This window comes from Homo sapiens, chromosome 11 (assembly GCF_000001405.40).
Source record: "Homo sapiens chromosome 11, GRCh38.p14 Primary Assembly".
In the NCBI taxonomy this organism is placed as follows: domain Eukaryota; kingdom Metazoa; phylum Chordata; class Mammalia; order Primates; family Hominidae; genus Homo; species Homo sapiens.
The window spans coordinates 118,904,584-118,927,709 of NC_000011.10; the positions used below are offsets into that span (position 1 = coordinate 118,904,584).

General features: G+C 58.3%; 1 protein-coding gene and 1 non-coding gene across 9 annotated transcripts in view, besides 20 other annotated features; one reads left to right on the plus strand and one right to left on the minus strand.

Annotated features, from left to right (window-relative positions):
- Nucleotides 1-21,343, minus strand: part of BCL9L (BCL9 like) — a 29,791-nt gene extending 8,448 nt beyond the window's left edge. For 2 of the 8 annotated variants that reach the window (NR_165445.1, NM_001437465.1), the window contains exons 1-3: nucleotides 20,655-21,343; nucleotides 3,687-4,072; nucleotides 2,900-3,019 (exon numbers count right to left, since the gene is read on the minus strand). Coding sequence is in view for 7 of the 8 variants with exons in the window: in NM_001437465.1 (NP_001424394.1) it covers nucleotides 2,900-3,019; nucleotides 3,687-3,987 (421 nt within the window). In the remaining variant the exon portion in view is untranslated. Of the gene's footprint in view, nucleotides 1-2,899; nucleotides 3,020-3,686; nucleotides 4,073-4,356; nucleotides 5,307-5,330; nucleotides 5,960-13,392; nucleotides 13,810-14,242; nucleotides 14,297-20,654 lie in introns of those variants that run through there. The other 6 variants (NM_001378213.1, XM_006718815.4, NM_001378214.1 and 3 more) reach the window with 6 other exon arrangements.
- Nucleotides 2,880-2,949: an enhancer, noted in NCBI's record as "active region_5608". NCBI's record gives its function as "activates an Ori minimal core promoter by ATAC-STARR-seq in GM12878 lymphoblastoid cells {active_cell/tissue: GM12878}" and the evidence as "EXISTENCE:reporter gene assay evidence [ECO:0000049][PMID:35858748]".
- Nucleotides 4,678-5,219: an enhancer, noted in NCBI's record as "H3K27ac-H3K4me1 hESC enhancer chr11:118779970-118780511 (GRCh37/hg19 assembly coordinates)". NCBI's record gives its function as "activates a minimal SCP1, AML or CMV promoter by ChIP-STARR-seq in naive H9 embryonic stem cells {active_cell/tissue: H9 hESC(naive)}" and the evidence as "EXISTENCE:reporter gene assay evidence [ECO:0000049][PMID:30033119]".
- Nucleotides 6,125-6,204, plus strand: MIR4492 (microRNA 4492). The gene has a single exon (NR_039713.1). It is a non-coding gene; the product is annotated as a microRNA 4492 (primary transcript).
- Nucleotides 6,303-6,842: an enhancer, noted in NCBI's record as "H3K27ac-H3K4me1 hESC enhancer chr11:118781595-118782134 (GRCh37/hg19 assembly coordinates)". NCBI's record gives its function as "activates a minimal SCP1, AML or CMV promoter by ChIP-STARR-seq in primed H9 embryonic stem cells {active_cell/tissue: H9 hESC(primed)}" and the evidence as "EXISTENCE:reporter gene assay evidence [ECO:0000049][PMID:30033119]".
- Nucleotides 7,110-8,309: an enhancer, noted in NCBI's record as "P300/CBP strongly-dependent group 1 enhancer chr11:118782402-118783601 (GRCh37/hg19 assembly coordinates)". NCBI's record gives its function as "activates an origin of replication core promoter dependent on BRD2, BRD4, P300/CBP, MED14 and CDK7 cofactors, with strong dependence on P300/CBP, by STARR-seq in HCT116 cells {active_cell/tissue: HCT116}" and the evidence as "EXISTENCE:reporter gene assay evidence [ECO:0000049][PMID:35650434]".
- Nucleotides 7,110-8,468: a biological region, named in NCBI's record as "P300/CBP strongly-dependent group 1 enhancer GRCh37_chr11:118782402-118783601".
- Nucleotides 7,385-7,926: an enhancer, noted in NCBI's record as "H3K27ac-H3K4me1 hESC enhancer chr11:118782677-118783218 (GRCh37/hg19 assembly coordinates)". NCBI's record gives its function as "activates a minimal SCP1, AML or CMV promoter by ChIP-STARR-seq in naive and primed H9 embryonic stem cells {active_cell/tissue: H9 hESC(naive and primed)}" and the evidence as "EXISTENCE:reporter gene assay evidence [ECO:0000049][PMID:30033119]".
- Nucleotides 7,927-8,468: an enhancer, noted in NCBI's record as "H3K27ac-H3K4me1 hESC enhancer chr11:118783219-118783760 (GRCh37/hg19 assembly coordinates)". NCBI's record gives its function as "activates a minimal SCP1, AML or CMV promoter by ChIP-STARR-seq in primed H9 embryonic stem cells {active_cell/tissue: H9 hESC(primed)}" and the evidence as "EXISTENCE:reporter gene assay evidence [ECO:0000049][PMID:30033119]".
- Nucleotides 9,147-9,256: an enhancer, noted in NCBI's record as "active region_5609". NCBI's record gives its function as "activates an Ori minimal core promoter by ATAC-STARR-seq in GM12878 lymphoblastoid cells {active_cell/tissue: GM12878}" and the evidence as "EXISTENCE:reporter gene assay evidence [ECO:0000049][PMID:35858748]".
- Nucleotides 9,551-10,090: an enhancer, noted in NCBI's record as "H3K27ac-H3K4me1 hESC enhancer chr11:118784843-118785382 (GRCh37/hg19 assembly coordinates)". NCBI's record gives its function as "activates a minimal SCP1, AML or CMV promoter by ChIP-STARR-seq in naive H9 embryonic stem cells {active_cell/tissue: H9 hESC(naive)}" and the evidence as "EXISTENCE:reporter gene assay evidence [ECO:0000049][PMID:30033119]".
- Nucleotides 10,091-10,632: an enhancer, noted in NCBI's record as "H3K27ac-H3K4me1 hESC enhancer chr11:118785383-118785924 (GRCh37/hg19 assembly coordinates)". NCBI's record gives its function as "activates a minimal SCP1, AML or CMV promoter by ChIP-STARR-seq in naive H9 embryonic stem cells {active_cell/tissue: H9 hESC(naive)}" and the evidence as "EXISTENCE:reporter gene assay evidence [ECO:0000049][PMID:30033119]".
- Nucleotides 12,257-12,798: an enhancer, noted in NCBI's record as "NANOG-H3K27ac-H3K4me1 hESC enhancer chr11:118787549-118788090 (GRCh37/hg19 assembly coordinates)". NCBI's record gives its function as "activates a minimal SCP1, AML or CMV promoter by ChIP-STARR-seq in naive and primed H9 embryonic stem cells {active_cell/tissue: H9 hESC(naive and primed)}" and the evidence as "EXISTENCE:reporter gene assay evidence [ECO:0000049][PMID:30033119]".
- Nucleotides 13,339-13,880: an enhancer, noted in NCBI's record as "H3K27ac-H3K4me1 hESC enhancer chr11:118788631-118789172 (GRCh37/hg19 assembly coordinates)". NCBI's record gives its function as "activates a minimal SCP1, AML or CMV promoter by ChIP-STARR-seq in primed H9 embryonic stem cells {active_cell/tissue: H9 hESC(primed)}" and the evidence as "EXISTENCE:reporter gene assay evidence [ECO:0000049][PMID:30033119]".
- Nucleotides 17,127-17,667: an enhancer, noted in NCBI's record as "H3K27ac-H3K4me1 hESC enhancer chr11:118792419-118792959 (GRCh37/hg19 assembly coordinates)". NCBI's record gives its function as "activates a minimal SCP1, AML or CMV promoter by ChIP-STARR-seq in naive H9 embryonic stem cells {active_cell/tissue: H9 hESC(naive)}" and the evidence as "EXISTENCE:reporter gene assay evidence [ECO:0000049][PMID:30033119]".
- Nucleotides 18,751-19,291: an enhancer, noted in NCBI's record as "H3K4me1 hESC enhancer chr11:118794043-118794583 (GRCh37/hg19 assembly coordinates)". NCBI's record gives its function as "activates a minimal SCP1, AML or CMV promoter by ChIP-STARR-seq in primed H9 embryonic stem cells {active_cell/tissue: H9 hESC(primed)}" and the evidence as "EXISTENCE:reporter gene assay evidence [ECO:0000049][PMID:30033119]".
- Nucleotides 19,292-19,831: an enhancer, noted in NCBI's record as "H3K4me1 hESC enhancer chr11:118794584-118795123 (GRCh37/hg19 assembly coordinates)". NCBI's record gives its function as "activates a minimal SCP1, AML or CMV promoter by ChIP-STARR-seq in primed H9 embryonic stem cells {active_cell/tissue: H9 hESC(primed)}" and the evidence as "EXISTENCE:reporter gene assay evidence [ECO:0000049][PMID:30033119]".
- Nucleotides 20,060-20,129: an enhancer, noted in NCBI's record as "active region_5610". NCBI's record gives its function as "activates an Ori minimal core promoter by ATAC-STARR-seq in GM12878 lymphoblastoid cells {active_cell/tissue: GM12878}" and the evidence as "EXISTENCE:reporter gene assay evidence [ECO:0000049][PMID:35858748]".
- Nucleotides 20,501-21,002: an enhancer, noted in NCBI's record as "H3K27ac hESC enhancer chr11:118795793-118796294 (GRCh37/hg19 assembly coordinates)". NCBI's record gives its function as "activates a minimal SCP1, AML or CMV promoter by ChIP-STARR-seq in primed H9 embryonic stem cells {active_cell/tissue: H9 hESC(primed)}" and the evidence as "EXISTENCE:reporter gene assay evidence [ECO:0000049][PMID:30033119]".
- Nucleotides 21,198-21,247: a silencer, noted in NCBI's record as "silent region_3957". NCBI's record gives its function as "represses an Ori minimal core promoter by ATAC-STARR-seq in GM12878 lymphoblastoid cells {active_cell/tissue: GM12878}" and the evidence as "EXISTENCE:reporter gene assay evidence [ECO:0000049][PMID:35858748]".
- Nucleotides 21,448-21,587: a silencer, noted in NCBI's record as "silent region_3958". NCBI's record gives its function as "represses an Ori minimal core promoter by ATAC-STARR-seq in GM12878 lymphoblastoid cells {active_cell/tissue: GM12878}" and the evidence as "EXISTENCE:reporter gene assay evidence [ECO:0000049][PMID:35858748]".
- Nucleotides 22,408-22,467: a silencer, noted in NCBI's record as "silent region_3959". NCBI's record gives its function as "represses an Ori minimal core promoter by ATAC-STARR-seq in GM12878 lymphoblastoid cells {active_cell/tissue: GM12878}" and the evidence as "EXISTENCE:reporter gene assay evidence [ECO:0000049][PMID:35858748]".

Sequence of the window (23,126 nt, forward strand, 5' to 3'; positions counted from 1 at the left end):
CGTAGAAAAAAATCTACAACGGGTCTAGGTGAGTGGGTAGACCCATTCGCATGCCAAGAAAAGCAAGTCACAGTTCCTGGCCCGCAGACAGTAAGTACCAGCATTCTCAGTTAATGGGAGACAGATTGCCTGAAGTTGTCTCCATCCAGCCAGGGCAGTGACCACCTTCCCATGGGCCCAGTGTCAGGCTGCCCTCTTTGGAAAAAGTTTCTTCTGCACCTTCTTCTCTGATGGACCCACCCCAAAACGGCCCTGCTCTGGACCCTATCTATCCAATTTTACATAGAAGAGCAGAGCCAGAAATTTGCGGGGGAGCTTGAGAGCTGACCTCAATGTGTGAAGGCTGCTGAGTAGCTCTTGGATACGAGCTATGGGGAGACAGGCAGGGCTTAGTCCAACAAGGAACTTTCTAGTACAATAACAATGATAAAAGCTAACATGTTACATGTATAACCTCATTTACTCCTCATACCAACCCTATGAGATAAATAATACTTTTACAGATGAGGAAACTGAGGCCCTTTCCCAAATTTACAGAAATAACCTGGGTTGCAAACGAAGGCAGCCTGATGGCAGAACTAGTCCTGTCAATGTCTACGTTCTATCGCCCCTCCAGTAAGAACTCTTCAAGAATCTAAGGGCAGGCCGGGCACGGTGGCTTATGCCTGTAATCCTAACACTTTGGGAGGCCGAGGCGGGCGGATCACTTGAGGGCAGGAGTTCAAGACCAGCCTGGCCATAATGGTGAAACTCCATCTCTACTAAAAATACAAAAATTAGCCAGGCGTGGTGACGCATGCCTGTAATCCCAGCTACTTGGGAGGCTGAAGCAGGAGAATTACTTGAACCCAGGAGGTGGAGGTTGCAGTGAGCCGAGATTGTGCCACTGCACTCCAGCCTGGGCAACAGAGTGAGTGAGACTCTGTCTCAAAAAAAAAAAAAAAAAAAAAGAATCAGGCCGGGTGGCTCACGCCTGTAATCCCAGCACTTTGGGGGGCTGAGGCAGGTGTATCACCTGAGGTCAGGAGTTCAGGACCGGTCTGGCCAACATGCTAAAACTCCACCTCTGCTAAAAATACAAAAATTAGCCAGGCGTGGTGGCAGGTGCCTGTAATCCCAGCTACTCGGGAGGCTGAGGCAGGAAAATCGCTTGAACTCAGGAGGCAGAGGTTGCAGTAAGCCGAGTTCGTGCCATTGCACTCCAGCCTGGGCAACAAGAGTGAAACTCCGATTCAAAAATAAATAAATAAATAAATAAATAAAAGAATCTAAGGGTAGTACGACTAAAATAGTCGCCTTGAGTATGGGATGTTAGCAATTTCTACTTTGTATTTCCCTATGTTTGCCAGGCACAGTGGCTCACTCCTGTAATTCCAGCACTTTGGGAGGCCAAGGCATGAGGATCGCTTGAGACCAGGAGTTCAAGATCAGCCTGGGCAACATGGCAAGACTGTCTCTACAAAAATTAGCCAGGTGTGATACATGCCTGAGCCCCAGCTACTTGGGAGTCTGAGATGGGAGGATCACTTGAGCTCAGGAGTTTGAGGTTGCAGTGAGCTGTGATCACACCACTGCACTCCAGCCTGGGTGTCAGAGAGAGACCCTGTCTCTAAACAATAAATAAATAAAACTCACAAAGTTTCTACAATGGTGCAGTCTGATGTGACATAAGTGAACTGGAGGTGGTGGCTATGGGGGGAGGTGTCTGGTCTGGGAAGCAGTAAAGGCTTCTATCATCAAAGGGTTCAGCCAGAGGCTTGGCGACCACCAGGTTAGTCCCACGGGGGAGAGAGAACTGATACAGGATGGTCTGTGAGGTTCCAGCTAGCTGTAGAGGTTTGGTATTTGACCCTCTACACCCCTGTCACAGACATAGTCTGCTCACTCCATAACATTTGCTGACTCTCTCTCCTCCTCTGTAATTGGCATCATGATAACACTGACCTCACAGGGCTGTTGTAAGGATTAAATAAAACAGAGTAGCAAAGTAGCCAATGTACTCTTTTCTTTCTTCTTTCTATGGTCCCTGCCTTCAAGGAGTTCACAATTTAATAGTCTCTGGCTAGTTTCTTTTTCTTCTTTCTTTACTTCTTTCCTTTCTTTCTCTCTCTCTCTCTTTTTAGAGATGGGGTCTCCCTATGTTGGCCAGGCTGTTCTTGAACTCCTGGGCTCAAGCAATTCTCCGGTTTCAGCTCCCCAAATTCTGGGGATTACAGGTGACAGCCACCACACCCAGCCTCTCTGGCTAGTTTCTTATGTCTCTCTCCTCAAAAAGATGTAAACGTAAACTTTGAGGGAAAAAAAATATGTACAAGCTTCCCAGGGGCAGGGGTTACATCTGGCTCTCCCCCATCACTCATGGAAGGACAAGATATAGGCGAATCCATAAAAGAATCAGAGGAGGAGTGGGCATCCCTCCACACCCACTTCTTGTCCTGGTGACACACCCTGGGTACTTGCCAGGAGTCAATTAGAGGTTAGGGAAGGGCACTAGAGACACGGCCAAGTGGCAACTCACACCCAGGCTTAGCAGGGCTTTGCACAGCAGAGCCAACTGCCCGGCTCCCAGTGTCCCTGGACGCTTCACCGCCCTCCCTCCACTAACCAGTAGGTGGCAGCATAGGCCAGGAATTCACAGGTAGAGGTGCAGGTGACGTGACCAAGAAGGAGGCCACTCCACTCTGCCCCACCTAGGGTCCCTAGGGAGAGGGGGTCACTGAGCACCTGGAAGGCAGAGGCGAGGCAGTTGCAGTGTAGGGAGGGACAGAGTCTGAGAGGTAGGATGGGAGAGAAAAATCCAGGACTCCCAGTCCTCACTTCTTTCCCAGGCTCAGTCCTCTCAAGTCCATCCCCCAGGAACATCACGGGCTACAGCACCCTGGCATCGACAGGCACTCACTGTGGGTGGCCCCAATGGGCTTGTCGTCCTCCTCACTGTCCGGTCCAGAGCACCATTCGTCCCCACTGTACGGCTGCTTCCGCTCCAGCACACAGCGCCGCTTACTCCGCGGCGCCACCTCTGCCCAGGCAGGACGGAGGAAAGAGTGAGTGCCTAGAGGCCCCATTATTCTCCCACACCCAGGGTCCCTCCCAGATCCATTCTCTAAGATGCCCCACCCTAGAGGGCACTGCCCAGGCCATGGTGGGCACTTCGCCAGCCCGTGGCCCCCACCACGCCACCATTTGTTTCTGATTTCTCTCTATAGCCCCATGCCTGTCTCCCCTCCCCCCCAACACCAAGTACAGCATAATCCCCAACCACAACTGGTTCTAATTAGGGCTGGAGGGGAGGGGGAGCTGCTGCTACTCTTCCAGGCCCCAGTGCCTGCTCCCAAAGGGCTCCCACCAGCCGGGATACGGAGGCTCCTGGAAGTGTGTGGGTCTGGGGTCTGCTCCTCACTCCATGGCACCTCCCTCTCCCCTTCTGGAGCTCTGGTGGGAAAGCAGGAGGGGAAGGAGTCCAGAAGTCCGACCACTCTGTGTGGCCCCTCCATGGGTGGCATCATGGCCAACCCCAATCCCGAATGATCTGGTTGGTGGGTGTTGAAAGGTACCCATGCAGAAATACTGGAGAAGAACGTGGGATGAGGACTGGACAAGCAGGGAGCAGAGAGGTGATCTCCCAGAACATCTGAGCCTTGGACTATGGGAGATGCTAGGGTCTTAGGGATGAGGAAATGGGGTACCTTTGGCCTCTGAATCCAGGGATGGGGTCCCAGCCTCTCGCTGCTCTCCAGAGTCCACAGACACACTCCGGTCCCTCTTCACCTTGCCCTTGAGCGAGCTGAAAGGGGGCACCCCTGCCTGGGGGTTCTTCAGACTTGAGTTGCTAGGCGAGATCTGGTTGGCCTTGGCCCCATGGTTCCCCGCCCCCACGCCCTTCGAGCCCACGTTGCAGGTGGGTCCTTGGTTCACATTCTGGTGCTGAGATTGGGCCCCGCCATTCCCTGTCTTGCCATGATTGGTCAATTTATTTTCTGGGTGCATTGGCTTGGCTGGGGCAGGGGGGCAATGACCGCGGGGGGACAGCGGCGGGCTCCCTGGAGCTTCTCTCCTCCTGGGGTGGGGTAACCTGGGAGGAGGTGGGAGAAATGTGAAAAGTTAACCTTGCTAGGGGCTAGGCATGCCTGCAACTTAATTACCCCATCCTGCCTCCCCTAACAATGGGGGAGGGTGGGGGGAAGGGGTGGTATCTCAAGACCACCACCAGCTATTCTCTACCTCCCTCCATGGCTTCCTCAGACAAGGGCTGAAGCCCTCATCCACCTTGGGGAGTGGAGATGGGGAAACCCTCCACCCCCTAGCCTCCACAATTTGAATGGAAACCAGGGCCTAGAGTTGGCAGAATTCACCCACCTCAGCCCCAAAACACCCATCAGCCTGCAAGCTTCTGTGGCAACCCTGTCCTCTGTATCAGACTTAAGCATCCTCTCTTCTAAGATCTGCTGTCTTCAGACTCCTTCCAAGGTCTCAAACCTCAACTCCCATATGTCCCAACACCAGCAGAGAAGGGCCACAGGACCTGGGGTCACTGCACATGCCCGGGTCTCATTCCCCAGGGACAGTGGGAAAACGCACACCAGGGAGTGCTACCCACTGGTCCAGACAGCTGGAGGGGAAGGCCTGAGGAGGGGGGCTTGGCAGGCCAGGCCGGCAGGCAGAAGCAGGAGGAAAGGGGGAGGGGAGCGGTGTGTCAAGCAGATGGGGAGTGTAGCTTGAAGCCAAGGATTCCTGCAGCCTAGGCTGCGGGCCCTTTAAGCTCCAGCCCGCTCCCCCCGCCGCCTCCCCCTCCCCGGAGACCTATTAATAGCCGCTGGAAAGATCACATCACGGGAGAGGATATTTATCCCCCCTCATTCCACACCAGCTCAGATTTATTTCAGCTCTGCTGTCCTGCTGCTGCCGCCTGGCCCTGTCTGCCGGCTTCTCCGGGGAGGGGGGAGGGAGGCAGGCACCGCCCCCTACTCCAGCTCCCACCTCCAGCTAGACTGAGGCCAGAGGCGGCCTTCGGACCCCACAGTAGGGTGGGAGGGGGTCTGCTCAAACCATTTTAAGGAGGGAAGAACTAGAAGGGACCAGAAGCCGCAAGCATAGCTGGCTGCCAGTCCCCTCTGCCCCCCACCCAGGCCCAGGCACTAAGGCTGGCTGCGCCTCCTGCCTCGGGCCAGGCCTTCCCATGCTAACCCCCCTTTAGCCCACTGGTGGCCTGGGAGCCAGGTGCCCAGGGCGGCTCCTCTCCTGGCCAGCACAGCTTGGGCCCCATCACCACTGGGCCCTTCCCTTCCCGCACTCCACACACACACATCCCACCCGCCACGACACCCACACACCTTGTCTTGTTAGCCAGGATCCTCATGGCTCCCACACACAGTGGGGCTACGGCCCCTGTGCGTGCCCAGGGCCCAGCCAGGTACTCGGTACTGGAGCACGGACTGCAGCAACAAGCCCCAAAGAGAAAACTCGTGACTTGGGGAGGGGGTGTCAGAGGGGGAGGGGAGAAGGGAGGACCCAACAGCCCTGGGACTAGGGAGCTGGATAGGGTGGGGTGGCACTGGAAAAAGAGGATTACGAGATGGGGTCTCGATCCTGGAGGCCAGCCCTGTCCCCATCCCTCCCGCACCTTGCCCTCAGGGGGCTTGCAGTCTCCAGCAAGCCTCCGCCCCGACGGGCGGCAGAGACAGAATTCACTAAAAGGCTAGGTAGCAAAGGTGCCGTGTGGGGCGGCTGTGAGGTCTCCCCTGGCCCCCTGAGGGATTCCTGCTCCCAGACGCGCCCCTCACCCAGGGTGGGGTACCCCTCGTGCCCCACCCCCAGAGCGCTCCAGCCGTGGAGGGGGCCCGGGGTTGGGGCCACGCCCCGCCCCGTCCCCAGCTCGAGGCCTAGCCCGTGCCCATCCCAGCAGGCCCGGGCGGGCAGCGAGAGGCCTGGCGGGGCCCCGGGGCTGCAGCTGGGCTCTTCTGGAGACCAGTAACGCTGGCTCGGATTCCTCCCCGACCGCAAGAATGCAGGAGCCTCCCCTCCCCCCGCCCTGCACCCCCACCCCGCCCCCTTCGGCAGAGCCCGGGCGGAGAGGCAGAGCGAGCGAGCGACAGCCAGCGAGGCAGCGAGCGGGAGGCGGACAGGACTGCAGCGTGCTTCTCCAGGCCCCGCGCGCGGACAGACACACGGACAAGTCCCGCCAGGGGCTGGGCGCGCGCCAGCCGGCAAGAGCTTGGCGAGCCCCGGGTGCTGCCAGCAGAGGCTCAGAGACCCACAGACACCCGAACTCTGACTCACACACACTCACAGCTCACACGTGGACAGGGAGACAAGACACGCACGGAGCCCAGGAAGCTAGAGGCGCGCCGAGGCCAGGGAAGCGCCGCCGGAGCGGGAGGCGCGGAGACAGCCTGGGGCACGCGCAGACACCGGGGCTGCCCGAGGGCTGAGTGGGAGCGCCGGACCCATTGAACAGATGAAAAGACTGAGGCCGGCCACAAGAGAGCCGAAGAAAGTTGAGCCTGGTAGTCACAAAGAAACACGCACAGGGCCATAGATACAGCAACAGACTTACACAAACACAGAGGCCTCACCCAACCGCCCCCAGCCCTGGCTCCCCCCTCGCCTCCCCTACCCGCCCTCCAGCAGCCCTCCAGCAGCCGATCCCGGTCAAAGGGGAGGAGTCTTGGGCCCAGGAGCTTCGTCCCGGTGACAGGCCCGGCCAGACACCGGTGCACACTCCTGATGCTCCCTGCGGGGCTGCTGGAGGCTGGGCGGGGACCTGGGGGTGAGGGGGCCCCACCTGCCACCCTGCGGGAGTCTAACCCCAACTTAACCCTAGGGCACATTGGCCTTCGCCACTCCAGCCGTGTCTCTGGGGAGGAAGGCTCCTGGGGGAAGGTTCCAAAGTCCAGGACCTGCCTGGGAAGCAGCCCGCCACCCCCAGCTTCTCCATCACAACCAGGGAAGAGCAGAGGCAGAGGCTGGAGTCACTGAGATACCAGGGCTCTGAGCAGGCTCCTGGCTGGCATGCATCTCAGGCTCTCCCTTCACCAGCTCGCTGATTCTCAAAAGGATCGACCCCATTTCAACGAGGAAACTGAGGTCTGGGAAAAGGAAGTGGCGTGACCTTGAGTCACATATCCAGTATGTGGCAGTGTGGGGACGGACCCTCATTCCAGACACTGCAGTGACCCCACCTCCCCACGCCAGCCATGACTGCTCCTCTGAGCCTGCATCAGATAGTTGGGCTTCCCACATTCCAGCCACAGTGCCCAGGTCCCCCATAAGGGGGGAGGGGCAGGGCAAGGGCCACTCACTACCTATGTTCACAGCCTCAAAAATTGAGAACCTGTAAGAATTTGGGAAGGGGCTATTAGAAAATCAGTCCTCTCCAGTGGCCGTTCAGGCCTAGGCTCCTCCCCAGAAGACTCTTCCAGTCACCCTCCCCTCCGGGACTCCACCCCCTCTCTCCCACCCCGCCGCAGGGCGAGCTGAGTCAAGCGTGGATGAGTCAGGACTTTCCCATCTCACACCTCCCCCCTTTGCCCCTCAAGAGTCTGCCCCAGCTCCCGAAGACCCCTCCTCCTCCACACACTCACAGTCTCCGAAGACACCTGGAAGGCCTGGTGATGGGAAGCCAAGAGGGCTGATCCCAGCCCAATGCAATTTTAAAGCACCCAGTGAAGGGGGCTTGCTAGTACCAGGCCAGGGGCCCTTGAGGTACGAGAAAGCAAAGGGATGGGGCTCTGGGAACACGTCACCGTGCCTCCCTCTTAGGGGGTTAGGTGGGGAGGGGTAGCAAGCTCACAAACAGGGAGCAGGTGCGAGTCACCTGAGTGGAAGGCCAGGCGCATACCAGGAGAATGAATCGGAGGAGCGGAAGAGGCGGCTTGACAAAGGGCCTGAGATATCCATCCGCTCCCCCACCCCGAGTGACGCGAGGGTAGGAGCTAGCAGCCTAAGGGTTGCTAAGGGTTAAAGTGGACTTGATCCTAGCTGGGGGAGGGAGCTGAGGAAGGCTCAGATGCCCAGAGCCTCCAGGTATGACACACCGGCTCTGCTCCACACACAACTACCACAGGTAGGGCAGGCGTTCACACATCCAGTGGCAACCTGCCTGCTCCTAGCTGCCCCCACGTTGGGAGCCTCTGCTTGGCTCACCAGCTGGCCCAGCAGTGTCACTGCCTAGCTCAAAACCACCCCAAAGAGGCAGTGAGGAAATGTTTTGGAGGGTTCATGCTCCTGAGCTGCCAGGGCCCCCTGTGATGACGTGAAAGCCCAGGACCCTGCTGGGGACAACAGGGCGAACGAGATCCTTGGCCTCTGGCTCAGGGAGATACAGCGCCCGAGACGACAGGGTCCCAAATCCCCTTTCTCCTGGGTGTCAGGACCCCTCAGTCCTCAGAAGCTCTCTCCACCACTCAGGTCACTTCCTCTTCCTGAGGTGGTGACTCAGCGGGCAGGGAGGTCAAGGATTCGTAGCCCAGCAGGAAATCTGCTCAAGGACCAAGGTGCTGCTCTGGGACCCTCGATGTGGGGACTTCCAGGCTTAGGGGGCCTTCCCATGGCCCTGGTTCCTAGTAGCTCTCCACACTTCCCCCGACTCTGTGCCAAAGGAGACCATGCAAATCAGCCATTTTTGCTTGGGAGGTTTTCCCTGGGAGTTTCCAGCCCCACCCCACCTGCAGCCCTAGGGTAATGTCAGACAACCCCAGCTCCACAGGACCAGGGAAACTCCTGGTCCCAGACCTTTCTAGTCTGGGATTGTTGAACAGGGTACTGGGGGGTGATCGGCGGTTTTGCCCATTCTGGCCCACTGTCCCTTCTGGAGCCTGCACAGACAAGTGGCATTGCTTGGACAGGCCTGAGGTCACCTCACTTCTCTTGGCTCCTACAGTCATTGTCAGTGTGGCCGGGCCTTGGGAAGCAATCATGGCCTGGCAGTGGGGTGCCCCCAAAGACAGCTACCCAATCCCCAGCTGCTCCCTCCCACAGGGGGAGGGGTAGAGAGGGGGTGGGGGGCACAAGGAAACAAGACAGGGCAGGAAGCCCAGGCAGGCGGCGGGCACTCTGGGCCAGGCACAAACAACCAACACAGGAAACCACAGCCCACCCCCGCCCACCCCACCCGCCCAAGGCTCTGGGAGAGAGGAGTGCCAAAAGCTTGGTACCCCAACAGAGGCAAGGGCCAGGGGTTAGCCCAGGGCAAGGGAGGAGCAAGAAGCTCTCCAGTCCTCTCTCTGCCCCAGACCCTACCTGGGGAGGGTAGAGGGAGCCAGGCTGGCAGGGATGGTGCTGCCTCTTTAAATCCACCGAAATCCTGAGCTAGGCCCAACCTAGCTCTGGTTTCACAGGAAGGAAAGGAGCTCAGGAGCCAGTAGGGCAGGCAGTGGTGGCTGGAATTAGCCCCACCGGCCCAAATATATCTGGTCTCTGCCCGCCGCCCCACTGGTACTTCCTGTCCCCTGGCACCTGCACCAGGGTGGGGGTAGGAGATGATCCAGGTGCCACTCTCTACCCTATGGAGACTCCCATCTCAGGAGGTGGTGTGGTGCTGGGTTCACATGGGTAGAAGGTAACTTCCCAAGCCTGGGTTCCCAGAACAGGCAGAGATGGGCAAGGCAGCTCCCTGTGGGCCCTCACCTGGCCTCAGTCCTCCAAGGGGTTAATCTGTCCCCTATTTAGGGGGGTAGGGGTGGCCGAGGAACCTCCTCCAAACTGCCTGGCTGCTGGGAACAATGGGGCCATTGTGGGAGGATGGAGTGCAGCAGACTGCTGGCACAGCCAAGCGCACCACGGTGGGACCTCACCCAGCGCCCGCCCGCCTGCCTGCCTGCTCTGCTCTCTCCCCAGGTACAGCCAGAGGCAGAGGCATCCTCCTGGCCCCTCACCTCCCCTGATGGCTCACACTCTTGGCAGCAGCAGCACCTGGGGGCCCCACGAGCTCTGCCCACATTGACATCCAGACTGTCATGACCCTCCAGGATGCAGGGGCACGTGGGCCAGGCCGGGAGGGGTGGGGGTGATGAGACAGGATGTATGCCTGTGACCTCTGCAGGGAGACAGAAGGCCACACGGGGTTTCTGGTGTCAGTCCTGGCACCCTCAGGCAAGAAAGGCTTAGGGGATTGTGAGAGCAGTGACAGGCAGGGTCCCCTGTCCCCAGGCCTCCTCTCCCACACCCATTCAGTAAAGCTGCTCCCAGAGGAGGTCTGGTGCCTGGTGGCCTCGCCCTCTGAGGTTGGGGCCCTGGCAGGCAGTATGATGCAGTGGAATAAGAACTGAGTTTGAGGGCCGGGCGCGGTGGCACACGCCTGTAATCCCAGCACTTTAGGAGGTCAAGGCAGGTGGATCACGAGGTCAGGAGTTCAAGACCAGCCTGGCCATGATGGTGAAACCCTGTCTCTACTACAAACACAAAAATTATCCAGACATGGTGGTGGGCGCCTGTAATCCTAGCTACTCAGGAGGCTGAGGCAGAGAATTGCTTGAACCCAGGAGGCGGAGGTTGCAGTGAGCTGAGACGCACCACTGCACTCCAGCCTGGGCAACAGAGCGAGACTGTCTCAAAAAAAAAAACCAAGTTTGTAGTCAGACAGTGTCAATCACACCCTGCCCCTTCTCATCTATGGGGCCTTGTCCTTCCCTTTATCCCTCTGAGCCTCAGCTTCCTCATCTGCAAAAGGAGAATAATTTTATAGAGTGAGGTAACAGTAGTGAAACTAACAGAATGCCTAAGACACACCAGCCCTTGACAAACCACTTCTGGCCTCAATTTCCTTATCTCTACCTCCTGCCATGGCACCCAAATATGTGGGCATTTGGTAAAGGCAGGCACTGTCCAGATATTTTCCCTGTGAGTGTCCAAGAGAACAGGGCCTGTGGGCATCATATTAGTGGTACCAAGTAAAAAGACTTGGCTCCTCCCCTGCCCTCCTCTCAGAGGTCAGCTCCCTCCGCTGGCACACTCCTGGGCATCCTGGGCTCACCGACACACTCAAATCCAGAGCATGAACCCAGAGAGGGGCTGGGTGGCTGTCCACTCTCTTAGCCTCAGGACCATGTCTCAAAAGTCCAGGAGGCAAGTGAAGGGGGATTTCCCTTCAAGAGAGCCAGCCTCCCCTCTGCCAGGTCCCCTTCTCCCTGCCTGCCCCTTGGCAGTCACCCTGTAGTACTTGGGCTGGGAGAAAGCTTAAGCCTACTCTCTTGCCATGGATCTCAAAGGAAGGGTCTGGGAGAGAAAGAACAACTGACAAGCAGTTCTGGAAAGTAGGGGGCCCAGGGAGAAAACCTGTTCTCTTCTCAACTAGACAGGGCTGTATCTCTCAGGGTGGCCCCAGAAGCCCCCAAAGGGTTAACAAGGCCCTAAAAATAACCTGCGCCCAGCAGGACCCACTGATCGGAACCCTCCAGCCATCTGTTCCCATTTTCTCGTGTTCACATTGGAACATCTGAAACCGGCCCCAGAGCCCCAGCCCGATCCCAAAAATAGCCCCAGCCTGCCCAAGGAACAGGCCCCAGGGGCTGGGCACAGGAGGCATGGCCAGTCCAGTAGCAAGGCATGGCCCAGGCAGACCCTGAGCCCTCATCCCCCAGGCCCATGGATGGGAGGTGTCCTCTCTAGATCCAGAGGAACATGATAAGCAGAGCCAGGGGCTCCAGCCCACCCCTCTTGGTACCAAGCCAGAGAGAGCACCTGCTAGCTAAGTCCAGGCCTCAGACCCAGGGGCCCTGGGATCCTAGGCACTTCTACCACATCTTAGTCCCCAGAAGATTTTACCCACCTTGTCTGCATAGCTTCCCCACCTCATTGTGGGCACCCCATCCCTGCCGCCCACTCCTGGGCTCCTCATCCAGAAGTTCCCAAGCCTCAGCCCCTCCACCATCCCACTCTCACCCCAGGGCCTATAGGAGCCCTGGCCACCTGGCCCCACTCAGCATTCTCCCTTGCCAGCACACAGGGTTAAGGCAGAACTTTTCCTAGCACTGTCCACACTCCCCCTTGCAGCTCAGGGAAGGACTCTGGAGGTGTCCCTTGGACGCTGTAGATGCTGATATTACCCCACTCCCCTTCTGGGCTTCAGGATGCCCCCTCCCTGACCATCTGTGTCCAGCAGGTGACAGACAGGCCCATCGGGGCTCCCCCACATGATCATAGGTCTGGGCACTGCCCCTCAGAGAAATGCCCAGGCACGGCACAGGGAATCCGGGGTCCAGGGCCCTGAGGTGTTCCTAACAGCTGCCATCCAGGTCACAGCTCCACACTGACACTTCTCTCCCCAAGCCAGGTCCCTGACCCCTAGGCCAGGAAGGAGAGGAGGCGGCCATTTAAGCCATTTAAGGACGGAATGTCTTGTTTGCCTGGTGAGAGCAGAGCAGCAGGGGATGGGGCAGTGGGAGGAGTGCTGAGCTGAACTGAGCAAACAGCCTCAGGGAGGAGGGCTGGCCCTGGGAAGCCTGAAGATAGCGAGGGAGACGTGTCCTAAGCTCCCTGGGCCTTCTCCAGGCCCCTGGCTATTTGGCAAACTTGCAATCAAGAAGTCAGCAGGCACCAACGATGGGGAAGCGGCGGCAGCAAACAGTGGATCTGGAGGGGTATTAGAATCCAGGAATCTGGAGTGTGGAAAGGCTGTCTCTTCCCCACCCCCACACTCCCTCTCTCACCATCAATTCTTTCCCTGCTAAAACCCCTGGGAGGATCAAAAGTTCCTGTGAAGAGCTCTGACTAATCAAATGAGGGGAGGATCACCAACATTTATTGAGCATTTACTTTGTAACTTCACCAGTCCTAAATGCTTCACGTGCATCCTCTAGTTTAATCCTCAGAACAATCTGGTAAGAAAGTATTCTTATTATCCTCACTTTCCCACTAAGAAAAGGGACATGCCGAGAAGTTAAATAACTCGCCTAAGGCCCATAATTTTAGAAGAAGCAGGATTTGAATTCAGACACCCTGGCATCTGGGTTCTGGGCCATTTCACAATACTCCAGATGCACCACAGTATCAGTCCTCTGAACGATGACGAAAGAAAGCATGGGTGTCCAGGCCCCACCCTCTCACTCCTCACATCCTCCCTCCATGCCTGATGTGCCCGGGGCTTGCCCAGGGAAGATCAGAGAGAGAGCACCGCTCCCCACTCCCTCAACCCAGGTACCCGCCTGGCCTGGCCTGTGGTGCCAGGACAGAGCAAAGTTCTCCAGCCTCCCCCAGCCCCGCCCAACTCCAGTCCGTTACTTCCTCACCCATCCTTGTCCCTGCCGGTCAGAGGAGGGCACAAGGCTAGTCACCGAGACAACAGCACAGAGCCCCTGCCAAGAGTTACCACGGGCTCGTGAGAGGCCCCAGGTGGGGGTCAAAGGTCAAGTGGGACTCACCGGTGAGGGTGGAGTCCCAGCCCTGCCCCCCACCCACCTGTTCAGCCACACCTGGCCAATGCTCCCCATCTCTTTCATTCCTCAGTAGAGAGCAGGACCACTTCCTTGGTGTCCCTTGGGGGGTGGCTTCAGTGGAGAGGTTCGGGGCTGAGGTGAGGGGATGAGAAGCCCCTCCCTCCTGGGGATGGTCTAGGAGAAGTGCCTCCTCCCAGTCCCCAGCTTCCTCCAGCTTTCCCTAGTCGAACCGGGAGCCCTCAGGCGTGTTTGTTGTGAATTCAGGGAGTTGTTGCTAAGTAAGGAAGGGGGGCTGGCGGAGGGAAGAGGCTGTGTGTGTGTGTGTGTGTGTCTGTGTCTGTGTGTCTGTGTGTGTACACGCACGCATGTGTACGCTAGGGGACCAGGGGCCAGGGCAGAAACCACACTACTGTGGCTGGTAGCCACCCTGGCTTTGACTGAGCCAGAAGAGGCCAAGCCAGCGAGGAGGAGCAAGGACTTGGGATAACCAGGAAGTTGTACCTTGCCCTCCAGGGCGATTGGGCGGAATCTCCTTGCCTCCCGCAGGGTGGGGCGGGTGGGGGGTGAGATCCGCTGAGATAGAGAAGGGCTGGACTCTCACTGGAGCCTGGCTCTAACCCCTCCCAGCCCGGCCCCACTCCCCACCTGACTGGGTCTAGGGTTCTGGTCAGCCTGTTTGCCCACCAGGAGCCAGAGGAGACCTCCCTCCTCTGGAGGGAGGGGAATGAAAGGAGAGATGGGGGCAGAAAGCCAAGAGAAGGGAGCCCAAAAGACAAAACGCCAAGCAGGAGGCTAAGCCAGGGTGACGCGGCCGCCGCGGACAGAAATCAGGGAGGCTGAGAGGGACACACAGGGGCACACAGACCTCTCACCTCAGGAATAATGTCGGGCTCAGGCTCAAGGGTGTGGTCTGGGTTGGGGGCTCCCTGTGGAGAGAGGGTCAAAGCTAGAAGCCCCCTTCTAGCAATCTATGTCCCCGCTCCTCCCATCACCCCAGCACCCCCCACGAACACACCACAGAAACATGTACACACAGTCCACACAGCCTGCAGCTCCAGGAAGTCTCTGAGCTACTCAATTGCCACCCCCCACCCCCACCAGGACTTCTGTGGATTGGCTGGGAGCCAAGCCTGACCCCAGCTGCACCGCTGCCCCCCCCCCCCCGACCCCCCAACCCCCGCCCACCACACCATCCCCTCCCTAGCCTGGAAGCAGGAGAGGAGGAGGCACTGGAAGACCTTAGAGCTCCCTTAGAGCTTGGCCCCACGGGGAGGAGGAGAGGCAGAGGACTCCCATGACCTGGCCTGAGGACCTGGGGGAGGAGAGGGATGGGGAGGTTGGAGGACCCCAGATTCTAGCACCAGCCACCTCCAGGTTATCCTATGTCAGGGAAAAGAATGGCTGTGTATTCTATGTCCCTGTGTGGTCTCCCTGGCTATAGCCCTGGTTCCCTGAAGAGGCCAAGTCCTGAGGACCTGGTCTGGTTGGGAGGACCTGGGCCGAGGGAGTCGGTTTAGCAATTCAGTAGGAGGGGGCTGGGCGAAGCTCCCACAGCAGGCGGGAGAGAGGCTGGTGGCTGGGCTCAGTTTGTACTGGGGGGTCAAAGGGGAGTTCTTTTCCGAAGAATTCTGGGAGAGACGCCAACTAGAGCAAGCTGCTAACCACCCCTCCCTCTCTCTCACTGCACTGGGCGGGGGGTGTCCCTGCCAACCAGACTTAACCCTCTCCAGCCTGTGTTCCTCCCAGACCTGAGATGGGGTCTGCTGGGGAGGAGACCTTCGGCTGGGCTCAACTTTCCATTCTAAGGCTCATACAGAGCAGGGCATCTACCAGCATAAGGCTGGTTCCACATGGCCCCGTCTGGCACTGCCCTGCCCTGCCGCCACCTAGGTGACTTTTCTGAGCTCATCTCCTAAAGGTGTCTGCAGTGACGTGTGTGCGTGTCTCAGAGACAGAGATTGAGAAACAAGCTGAAAATTCCTTGCCCAGGCCCTCCCCCTGCTGGGTCACTGAGCACTGTACCAACCTGTACCCCTCCCTTCCTCCCACTGTGCTCTGGGACCAGAGGCCACTGGGGGTGGGGACGTAAAAGGGACAGCTTATCCTTATGTCCACCTCCTGCTGCTGTCTCCATAGGTCTCTGACTCACACAATCAGCCCCGGCCCCAGCACTCTGCTTCCTCACTGATTTGTCACAAGTGCTTCTGGAGAAATGCATTCCATTCCCATCCTGAGATCCCAGGATGGGAAACTGAGATGCAGCAAGGTTATGGGGGTTCTAGTGCCTGCATCCCATGCACTAACTCTGCTATCACCGTCCTTGCTTTGGCCCCAAATCAAAAAACCCTAGGAACCTCCTCTAATGTAGAATACTGTCTAAGTGCAGTAGGAGGGAATGAGATTAAACATCAAGAAGGACTTCCCACGATCGATCAAGGCTACAAGGGCAGCTGGCCCCACCCCAGATGCCTGGATTCCAGACCCCTCCGTCTTCTGCTCAGGCTGGAAATATGAGTGTCTTCTCTTGTTTAGCTATTTGACCCTAGCTGGAGAAGTCAACTTTTCTGAACCTTAAATTTGCCACCAAGCTCCCAAGTCCAATGTGATTGGCTGTTCCTTGCCCTCAATGAACAAGTGACCCCAGAGTGGGGGCTTAGCTCCCTTTCCCCACCCCTTTTCCTTTAGAACACCGAGCCTCTCTGTAACAACCACCACTGTATAATCAGGACAAGAAGAGGTGGACAGGTGGTATGAGGACCCTACAAGGTGCTAGGTGTCCGTGAGGGGTAGAGGGAGAGACCCCAGTCCCCAGGGAGAGTTTATCACAAAGTCTCCACTGCACCACTCTCTCTCCAAGGACCACGGAACTGCCAGAAGCCTTGGCCCCACTCCAGGAAACTTCCCTATCAAAGGGCAGAGGACTGCATGTCCCAGGGAGCTGTGGGGAGACCTGTGACTACATACCCCAGACATGTTCCCAGGGAGGAGAGAGGAGGGAAGAGAAGTGAAGCGCATGTGTGTGCCCGCACACGCACATACACGTGGACGAGACACGCCCCCAGCACACACACTCTCCAGAGGTACCCCGGACACTTACAACACAGACACAACTCCCAAAGATGCACATCCAAAGACGTTTCCTAAAAAGCACTCCAAATTCTCCAAGAGTGGCCCCTTCAGACCCACAGAGGCTCCCGTATTCATAGAGACAGCCTAGGGGAGCTCAGGAAACACACATGACATCGGCCAATCACACAGAACTGCCAAACAGAACCGCCGACAGAAGATACACCCACACTGAGACACACACACACACAAACTTATACACACACACAAAGTAGTACGCAGCCATGTGCTAGCACACAAACTCAGACACACAAACTTGCAGCGCAGAGTGTGTGAAGTCGGATTAGAAGGCAATGCTCTGGGGAGGAGGGGAGCCTGCAGGGGGTGGAGAACCACTCAGGGATTTCAAAACAATCCTGGTTTCGAAATGCTGGAAATGCTGGATTCAGGGCCATTCCGAGTTGAGGCTGGGGGTGGGGAAGTGGAGAGTGAGGAGGAGGGGAAGACGGGCCAGCCCAGGGCTACCAGTCCATTGGAGGAGGAACGGGAACGGACAGAGGGAGTCCCAGCTCTGGTGGAAGGGGGCCTAGAATAAAACACCAGGGTTAGGAGGGGGACCAGTCCAGGGCCAAGCAGGGAGGGCCTGGGCTGCAAAGGAGAGGCCTCTGCTTTTGCCACTGACAGGAAAAGTGAGAAGGCAGGGGAAGCCGCCCCTCCCCCTTGGCATGGAGAATCAGAGGGAACCTGTCTGTGTCCTTTCCCCTACTCCTGGGCAGTGGTGACCACCTTCTCCCCTCCAGAGTGGCACCCTGGCTCCCCTTCCCCACCAGCTAGCACAGCCCCAAGGTGGGTGGAAAGCTAAGGGGTCACAGGGGATGGGGAGATGGCAAGGGCCTGCAGGAGTCAGGGGTCTTCCACAGGTTCCAGGACCCCCCACACTCAGAGCAGGCTGTGGGCATCCCCCTGGGAACCCAAGGCTTTCTTCCTCTCCACAAGGATGCGGGACCCTCGGGGAGACTGAGGCAGTGTAACACATGCCCACACCCAGGAAGTCGCCCCTCCCACGGCAGCCAGAATGCCCTTACTGCCCCTCCCCCAGCCTCCAGGGAAAGTCAGGCTGAGTTCTCCCAGGAGGGGAGGGAGGGGAGGTCAGGCCAGGCTGGGGGTGGGGCTCAGAGGCCTGGCCCTGGCACCAGGCAGAGGAAATTCCAGGCTGTAAGTCCAGGCAGCCTTCAGGGCCGCCGAGCCAAGTGACATGCACCAGCTCAGGAGCTGCAGTGCTCTGGCCTTCCCCTCCTAGCCCTGGCCTTCCAGCCCTCCAACTGGCTCCAGCCCCAGCTCTGGGACTCAGATAGGCTCCTCAGCCCTGGCAGGAGCTCCCACCAGCCCCATCCCGGCTCCTCTGGCCAGTTAGAGCTTCCCTTCCTCAGTTCCCTGAGGGCAGCCCCCACGGTGTGTTTGTGGGTGGGCAGCTGTCGGGGCTGGCAGGCAGGGGCACACATGCGGAGCTAGAGCAGCCAGGCGCTCAACAGGTTGAGCCAGTCCATGGAACAGCCGGCCCCACCCCAGGGAGAGCGGGCCTGGCAGAGGCTCCCTGCCCGCGGCACCCAGCCTGTACCCGCTTGGCTCCCACGGCTGCCCACTTTCCCACGGTGCCATCCCCCTTCTGCCCCCTCCCCCCATCGGAGGTCAGCACCCGGGCAGTGCCCAGGGCTCTGGCACAAGGAAGGAAGGGATGCCATTCCCCTGTCACCCCTGGGTGCCCAGGCTCTTGAGCTACCTCACTCTCAGCACCCAAGGAGCCCCAGAAACAGCCAGCATGGCAGCAGGACCACAAGAACCCCAAAGGACTTCCCAGGCACCTCCTTGTGGGCCTCTTCTGATTCTGGGAAGACTGGAAACTTGAACACCCCAGCTCTCCAGAGCTGTCCCAGGGTCCTGGGACAGAACTTCAGCGTGTGGTACCAGAGGCAGTGTGGGGGTGCCCCCAGCTCCTCCTATTGGACTCCCTGGAGGAGGGGCTGCAGAGCTGGGTGACAGTGGCTCTCGGACTCCCTGGAGGAGGGCTGCAGAGCTGGGTGACAGTGGCTCCCTCCACTCCTGCCCCGGCAGCTGCTGCTGCAACCCTGGTCCTTTCCTCCCACTCCACTCCTGGGCTCCATGGAGCTCCATCGCAGTCACTCCCCTGATAGGCAGGCAGCTCCCCTTTGCTCGGCATCTCCTTTAATCTAAAGCAGGTGCCAGGCATTCCAGCCCTTGCTGAGCCGACACTGCCACCCCCTAGGCCCCTGCCCAGAGGCTACTGTCCTGCCTGGTCTGGAAGTTGAGACCCCAGCCTAGGGCTCCCGCTTAACCCAGGTACCAGGACTCCAAAGGCAGGAACTAGCTAAGCAGGGTCATGGGTACCCAACACAGATTCAACAGGCAAGATCAATAGGTCCCAAATTGCCACTGAGGCGCTAGATTTCTGTGGACTGCCAATCCCTCTCTAGGACCCTGTAGTATCTCTCCGGTCCCATGACTCCCCATCCTAGTAGAGACTCATTCTGAACCTCCATATGGGCCTCCAGAACCCATCACCAGTCATGGGACCCCTTCTACTCCAGGCACAAGAGTCACTCTGGATCCAAGATTTTAGGTATTCTACCTGCCCCTCAGCACCCTTCCTGCTGTGAACCATCACCCCACCCCACTCAGGAGCAACATGGGTAAGCAGGGAACCCCTAGAGGGAGGTGGCCAGAAGGCTGCTTCCAGGCCTGGCTCTCCAAGGCCAAGGAGGCAAATCACCTGGGGGAGGCGGCACCTTCCTTCCTGGCACCAGCCTCCCAGTCTCTCTCCCTGCTCCTCACCTTCCTCACCCATTCTCTCCCTGTCCTGTCCTGAGGCCTCTATCAGCAGGGCCTCAGAGCTGACACCAGGAAGACAGGGCCTGAGCATGCTCCTCCTCTGGGGTCATGAAATTGTGGTCCTGACCTGGAGAAGGTAGCCCGGCCCATGCTGAGAGGCAGCAGAAGAGCAAGGCAGCCCCTGCCCGGAAGTGGCTGCTCCCTGGAGAGACCAAGAAGAGAAGGAGAAGACAGTGGAAGCCCACTCACTGTGGTGGTCTCATCCAGAGAGCTGCTCAGAGGCAGCAGCAGAGTTGGAGCAGATACAGGGCACAGTCAGCTTTCACACTAAACCAAGGCTGGGAGTGAGGGCAGAAGATCCAGGGAGGCTTGGAACCCCTTTGTGAGGGCTCAAACACACGCCCAGTTCACCTCTCTCAGAGCAACACTTTTTCTCCTCGCAGCAGAGGTTCCCCCAGACACAGACACAGACACAGACACACACCCCAAGCAGTAGACAGAAAGAGAAGGGAGAGAGGGGGTGTCAGAAAAACCCGGAAGGAAGGAAGCTGGACAGACAGACAGTAGCTGATCCTAGCTTCATTGCTCCAGAGAGACACCCTCCAGACTCCTAGACTTCAAGGGACACTATCCTTCTCAGAAGGAGAGAGCAGCCCTCTGTCTCTTCTGAAACCAAATTCCAGCAGCCCTGGAATAGGACCTACCCCAGCGCAACAAGAAGCCTAAGCTCACTTCTCTTCCTACATTCTTCCCCGAGGGTTCCTTTGGATCAAGACAGGGGCCACCTCCCCTTAGCAGCGCAGGGACACTTCCAAGGAACTGTATGACTGCCCCACCCCCCAGCCAAGCCCACATCACTCAGAAGCCTTGGAAGAAGAGACTCCTCAGTCACAGCCCCCGCTACTCACAGGCAGTGCCTGGGAGAAAAGGGTGACCCCCAGCTCTCCCCAGTCCCAACCCACCTCCTTCTGGAGGCTCCTATCAGCCAGAGGAGGAGGGCTGGGGTGCTGAGACCCACGGGGTTGGTGAGCCTGGGAGGGGGACTACATCTCCCAGAAGCCCCCAGGGCAAGGTTCGCTGCTCCAGCTGGCCCAAGGCCGGCCTTGTTCTCTGCGCTAGGGTGGCAGGGTCCCCTGGCTGTCCCTAAGCCCTCCCCACGGTGTTCTGGAGCTGCCAACCTGATTGGGGGCTTAAGAGTAGCCTCCACTGACCCTGGGGGAGTCCCCCACACCTTAAACAGCCTGGGGGTACGTGCCAGAGAGCAAGAGACAATCAGACTGTGTTTCCCCTCCCCGATTCAAACTGGATCTCCCTCCTCGCGCCTCTGCTGGCCTGGCATGACTTTCGCCTTGCCCCCAGCCCACCCCTCACCTCACGCGGATTGGGGGGTCCTCACGCCAGGCCGGAGCTGGACGCCATGACCAGGTCAGGGTCGTTGTGTGGATGGGGGTCCTCCTGCTCGCCAGTTGGAGATGCAGAGGGGGCGGGCAGGCGGTGATCTTTTGATCCTGGACGCCTTGATCTCAATACCAGCCCGGCCCGGGAGAGGCTATCCGGGGATCGCTGGGTGCCTGGGTTCCTGCCTCCCAACCGCGGAGCATGGTCGCGGGCGCCGGGCAGTGGCGGGAGAGCGCGCACACCCGCCGGGGCCGGGGCGCGGGGCCGGGGTCTCGGCCCCGAACCTCAGGGCTCCGGCTCCTGCTCCTGCTCCTCCTTCCCTTGCTTGCTTGCTTGCTTCCTTCCTTCCTTCCTCGCCTCTCCTTTCCTTTCCCCAAAGCCCGCGGGAATGCCGGGCGCTGGGTGGGGAGGGGCTGTCTGGGCGCTTATTGTTGGTCGGACTCCGAGGGTCCGGGTCACAGCCCCCGGGCGGCGCGGCGCCGGGGGACCCAGGCGTGCGGGCGTCCGGCCGGCTGGCTCCGGGCGGCGGCGGTGGTGCAGCGGCCCCGGGTCCGGGGCATGTCCAGCCACTGGCTCCGCCGCGCGCCGCCGCCTCCCCGGGCTCCCCTGCGCTGCCGGAGCCTCGCTTGCCCCTCCACTCGGCTCCACTCCCCAGCCTGAATAAGCATCGGGGCTCTCTGGCTGCCTCCTTCTGCCTTCATACCAGAGCCCGGAGAGGCCCCTGTCAAAATAAGAGCTCCCCCATCTCGCTTGCCTCCTCGCCCAACCCGGCTCCCCCAGCCTCCCAGTGGTCTGACTCGGTAAGGCGCCCGGCCGGCTAGCGGGAGGCAGGTTGGCCCGGGGGCGGGGAGGGGGGTTTCTGCTCTCCTCCTCACTCCTGAGAACTGGGGAGGAGACGCGCCAACAACATCCCAGGCTAGGGAAAGGTTTGACAAACCTACCTTCCTATCTGCACTGATTGGAAGGAGTGGAAGTTGCCTGGACACACGCGCGCGCACACACACACACACACACAGCACTGGGTCCCCTCTTCGTTGTACCCACCCACATCCATAATGCACTGAGCATCTCTTTATTCATGTCTCTCCTAGTAGACCATGAGGTCCTTGAGGACACAGACTGAGTTTTTTCATCTCAATCCTCAGCAGCACAAAGTGCATGCTAAGAAAATGTTTGTGGAAGTGAAACCTTTGTCTTCTCAAAAGAACTCTCCTAACCTAACCTCAAAGTGCTTCTCTCTCTCTCTCTCTCTCTCACACACACACACACACACACACACACTCTCACCACCCTATAGGACGATCGAGGCAATGAAAAAGAAAATGTAAAGCCCTTTTTTTTTTTTGAGATGGAGTTTCGCTCTTGTTGCCCAGGCTGGAGTGCAAAGGCGCGGTCTCAGCTCACTGTAACCTCTGCCTTCTGGGTTAAAGCGATTCTCCTGCCTGAACCTCCCAAGTAGCTGGGATTGCAGGCACCTGCCACCATGCCCGGCTAATTTTGTATTTTTAGTAGAGACAGCGTTTCACCATGTCGGCCAGGCTGGTCTCGAACTACTGACCTCAGGTGATCAACCTGCCTTGGCCTCCCAAAGTGCTGGGATTACAGGCGTGAGCCACCGCGCCCGGCCCAAAGCGCTTTTTAAAAACATTTCACATGTTTCAATGCTCACCACAAACCTGCAAGAAAGAGGTTATGGTCCCATTACAGAGGTGAGGAAATTGAGGTTTGCATTACCTAAGGACTTACCCAGAGCTACCCAGCTAGAAAGTGGTAAGCCCAGGACTAGAATTTGGGTCTCCTTATCCCAGGGCACTTTCCCTGTTTCCTACTGTCCCCACCCACCCAGAATTAATAGCAAGTGACAAGCATTGACTGTGTCTGATAGGAAGAACACTAGCCAGCCTGCTTGTTCCTGCTGTTTCCTCGGCCCTCTCCCCTGCCCCTCCTCACAGATGGTCCCCAGATAGTTCTAGCCTCACTGACCTCCCTCTCTTCTGACCACCTATCCCATCATAGCATCTGAGTACTTCCTGATGTGTTGTATCTTGTCACACACACACACACACATATATATATACACACACACACCCCTATATATGTATAGGTGTATGCACACACACACATATATATATATGTCTGATTTCCCCCAAAAGATTCCTAAGGGCCTTGAGGGGTTGATGGTGCCAACAGCTGGGCACTGGACAAGGTTTAGGGAGGCACAGGTGGAAGGGGACAAAAACCTGAAAGAAGATAACATAGTAACCCCCCCCCATGTGTCCCATCACTGCTTACAAAGCATTTTCATGCACGTTGTCTCATGATGATGCTTTGATCCAATCACCAAAACTTTTCCAAGTGCCAGCCTGCTGTGCCAAGCACTGTCCTGGGTTAGGGGGTTGAATCACCACAGTCCTGAGAAGTCGATTTTATCCCCACTTAAAAGAA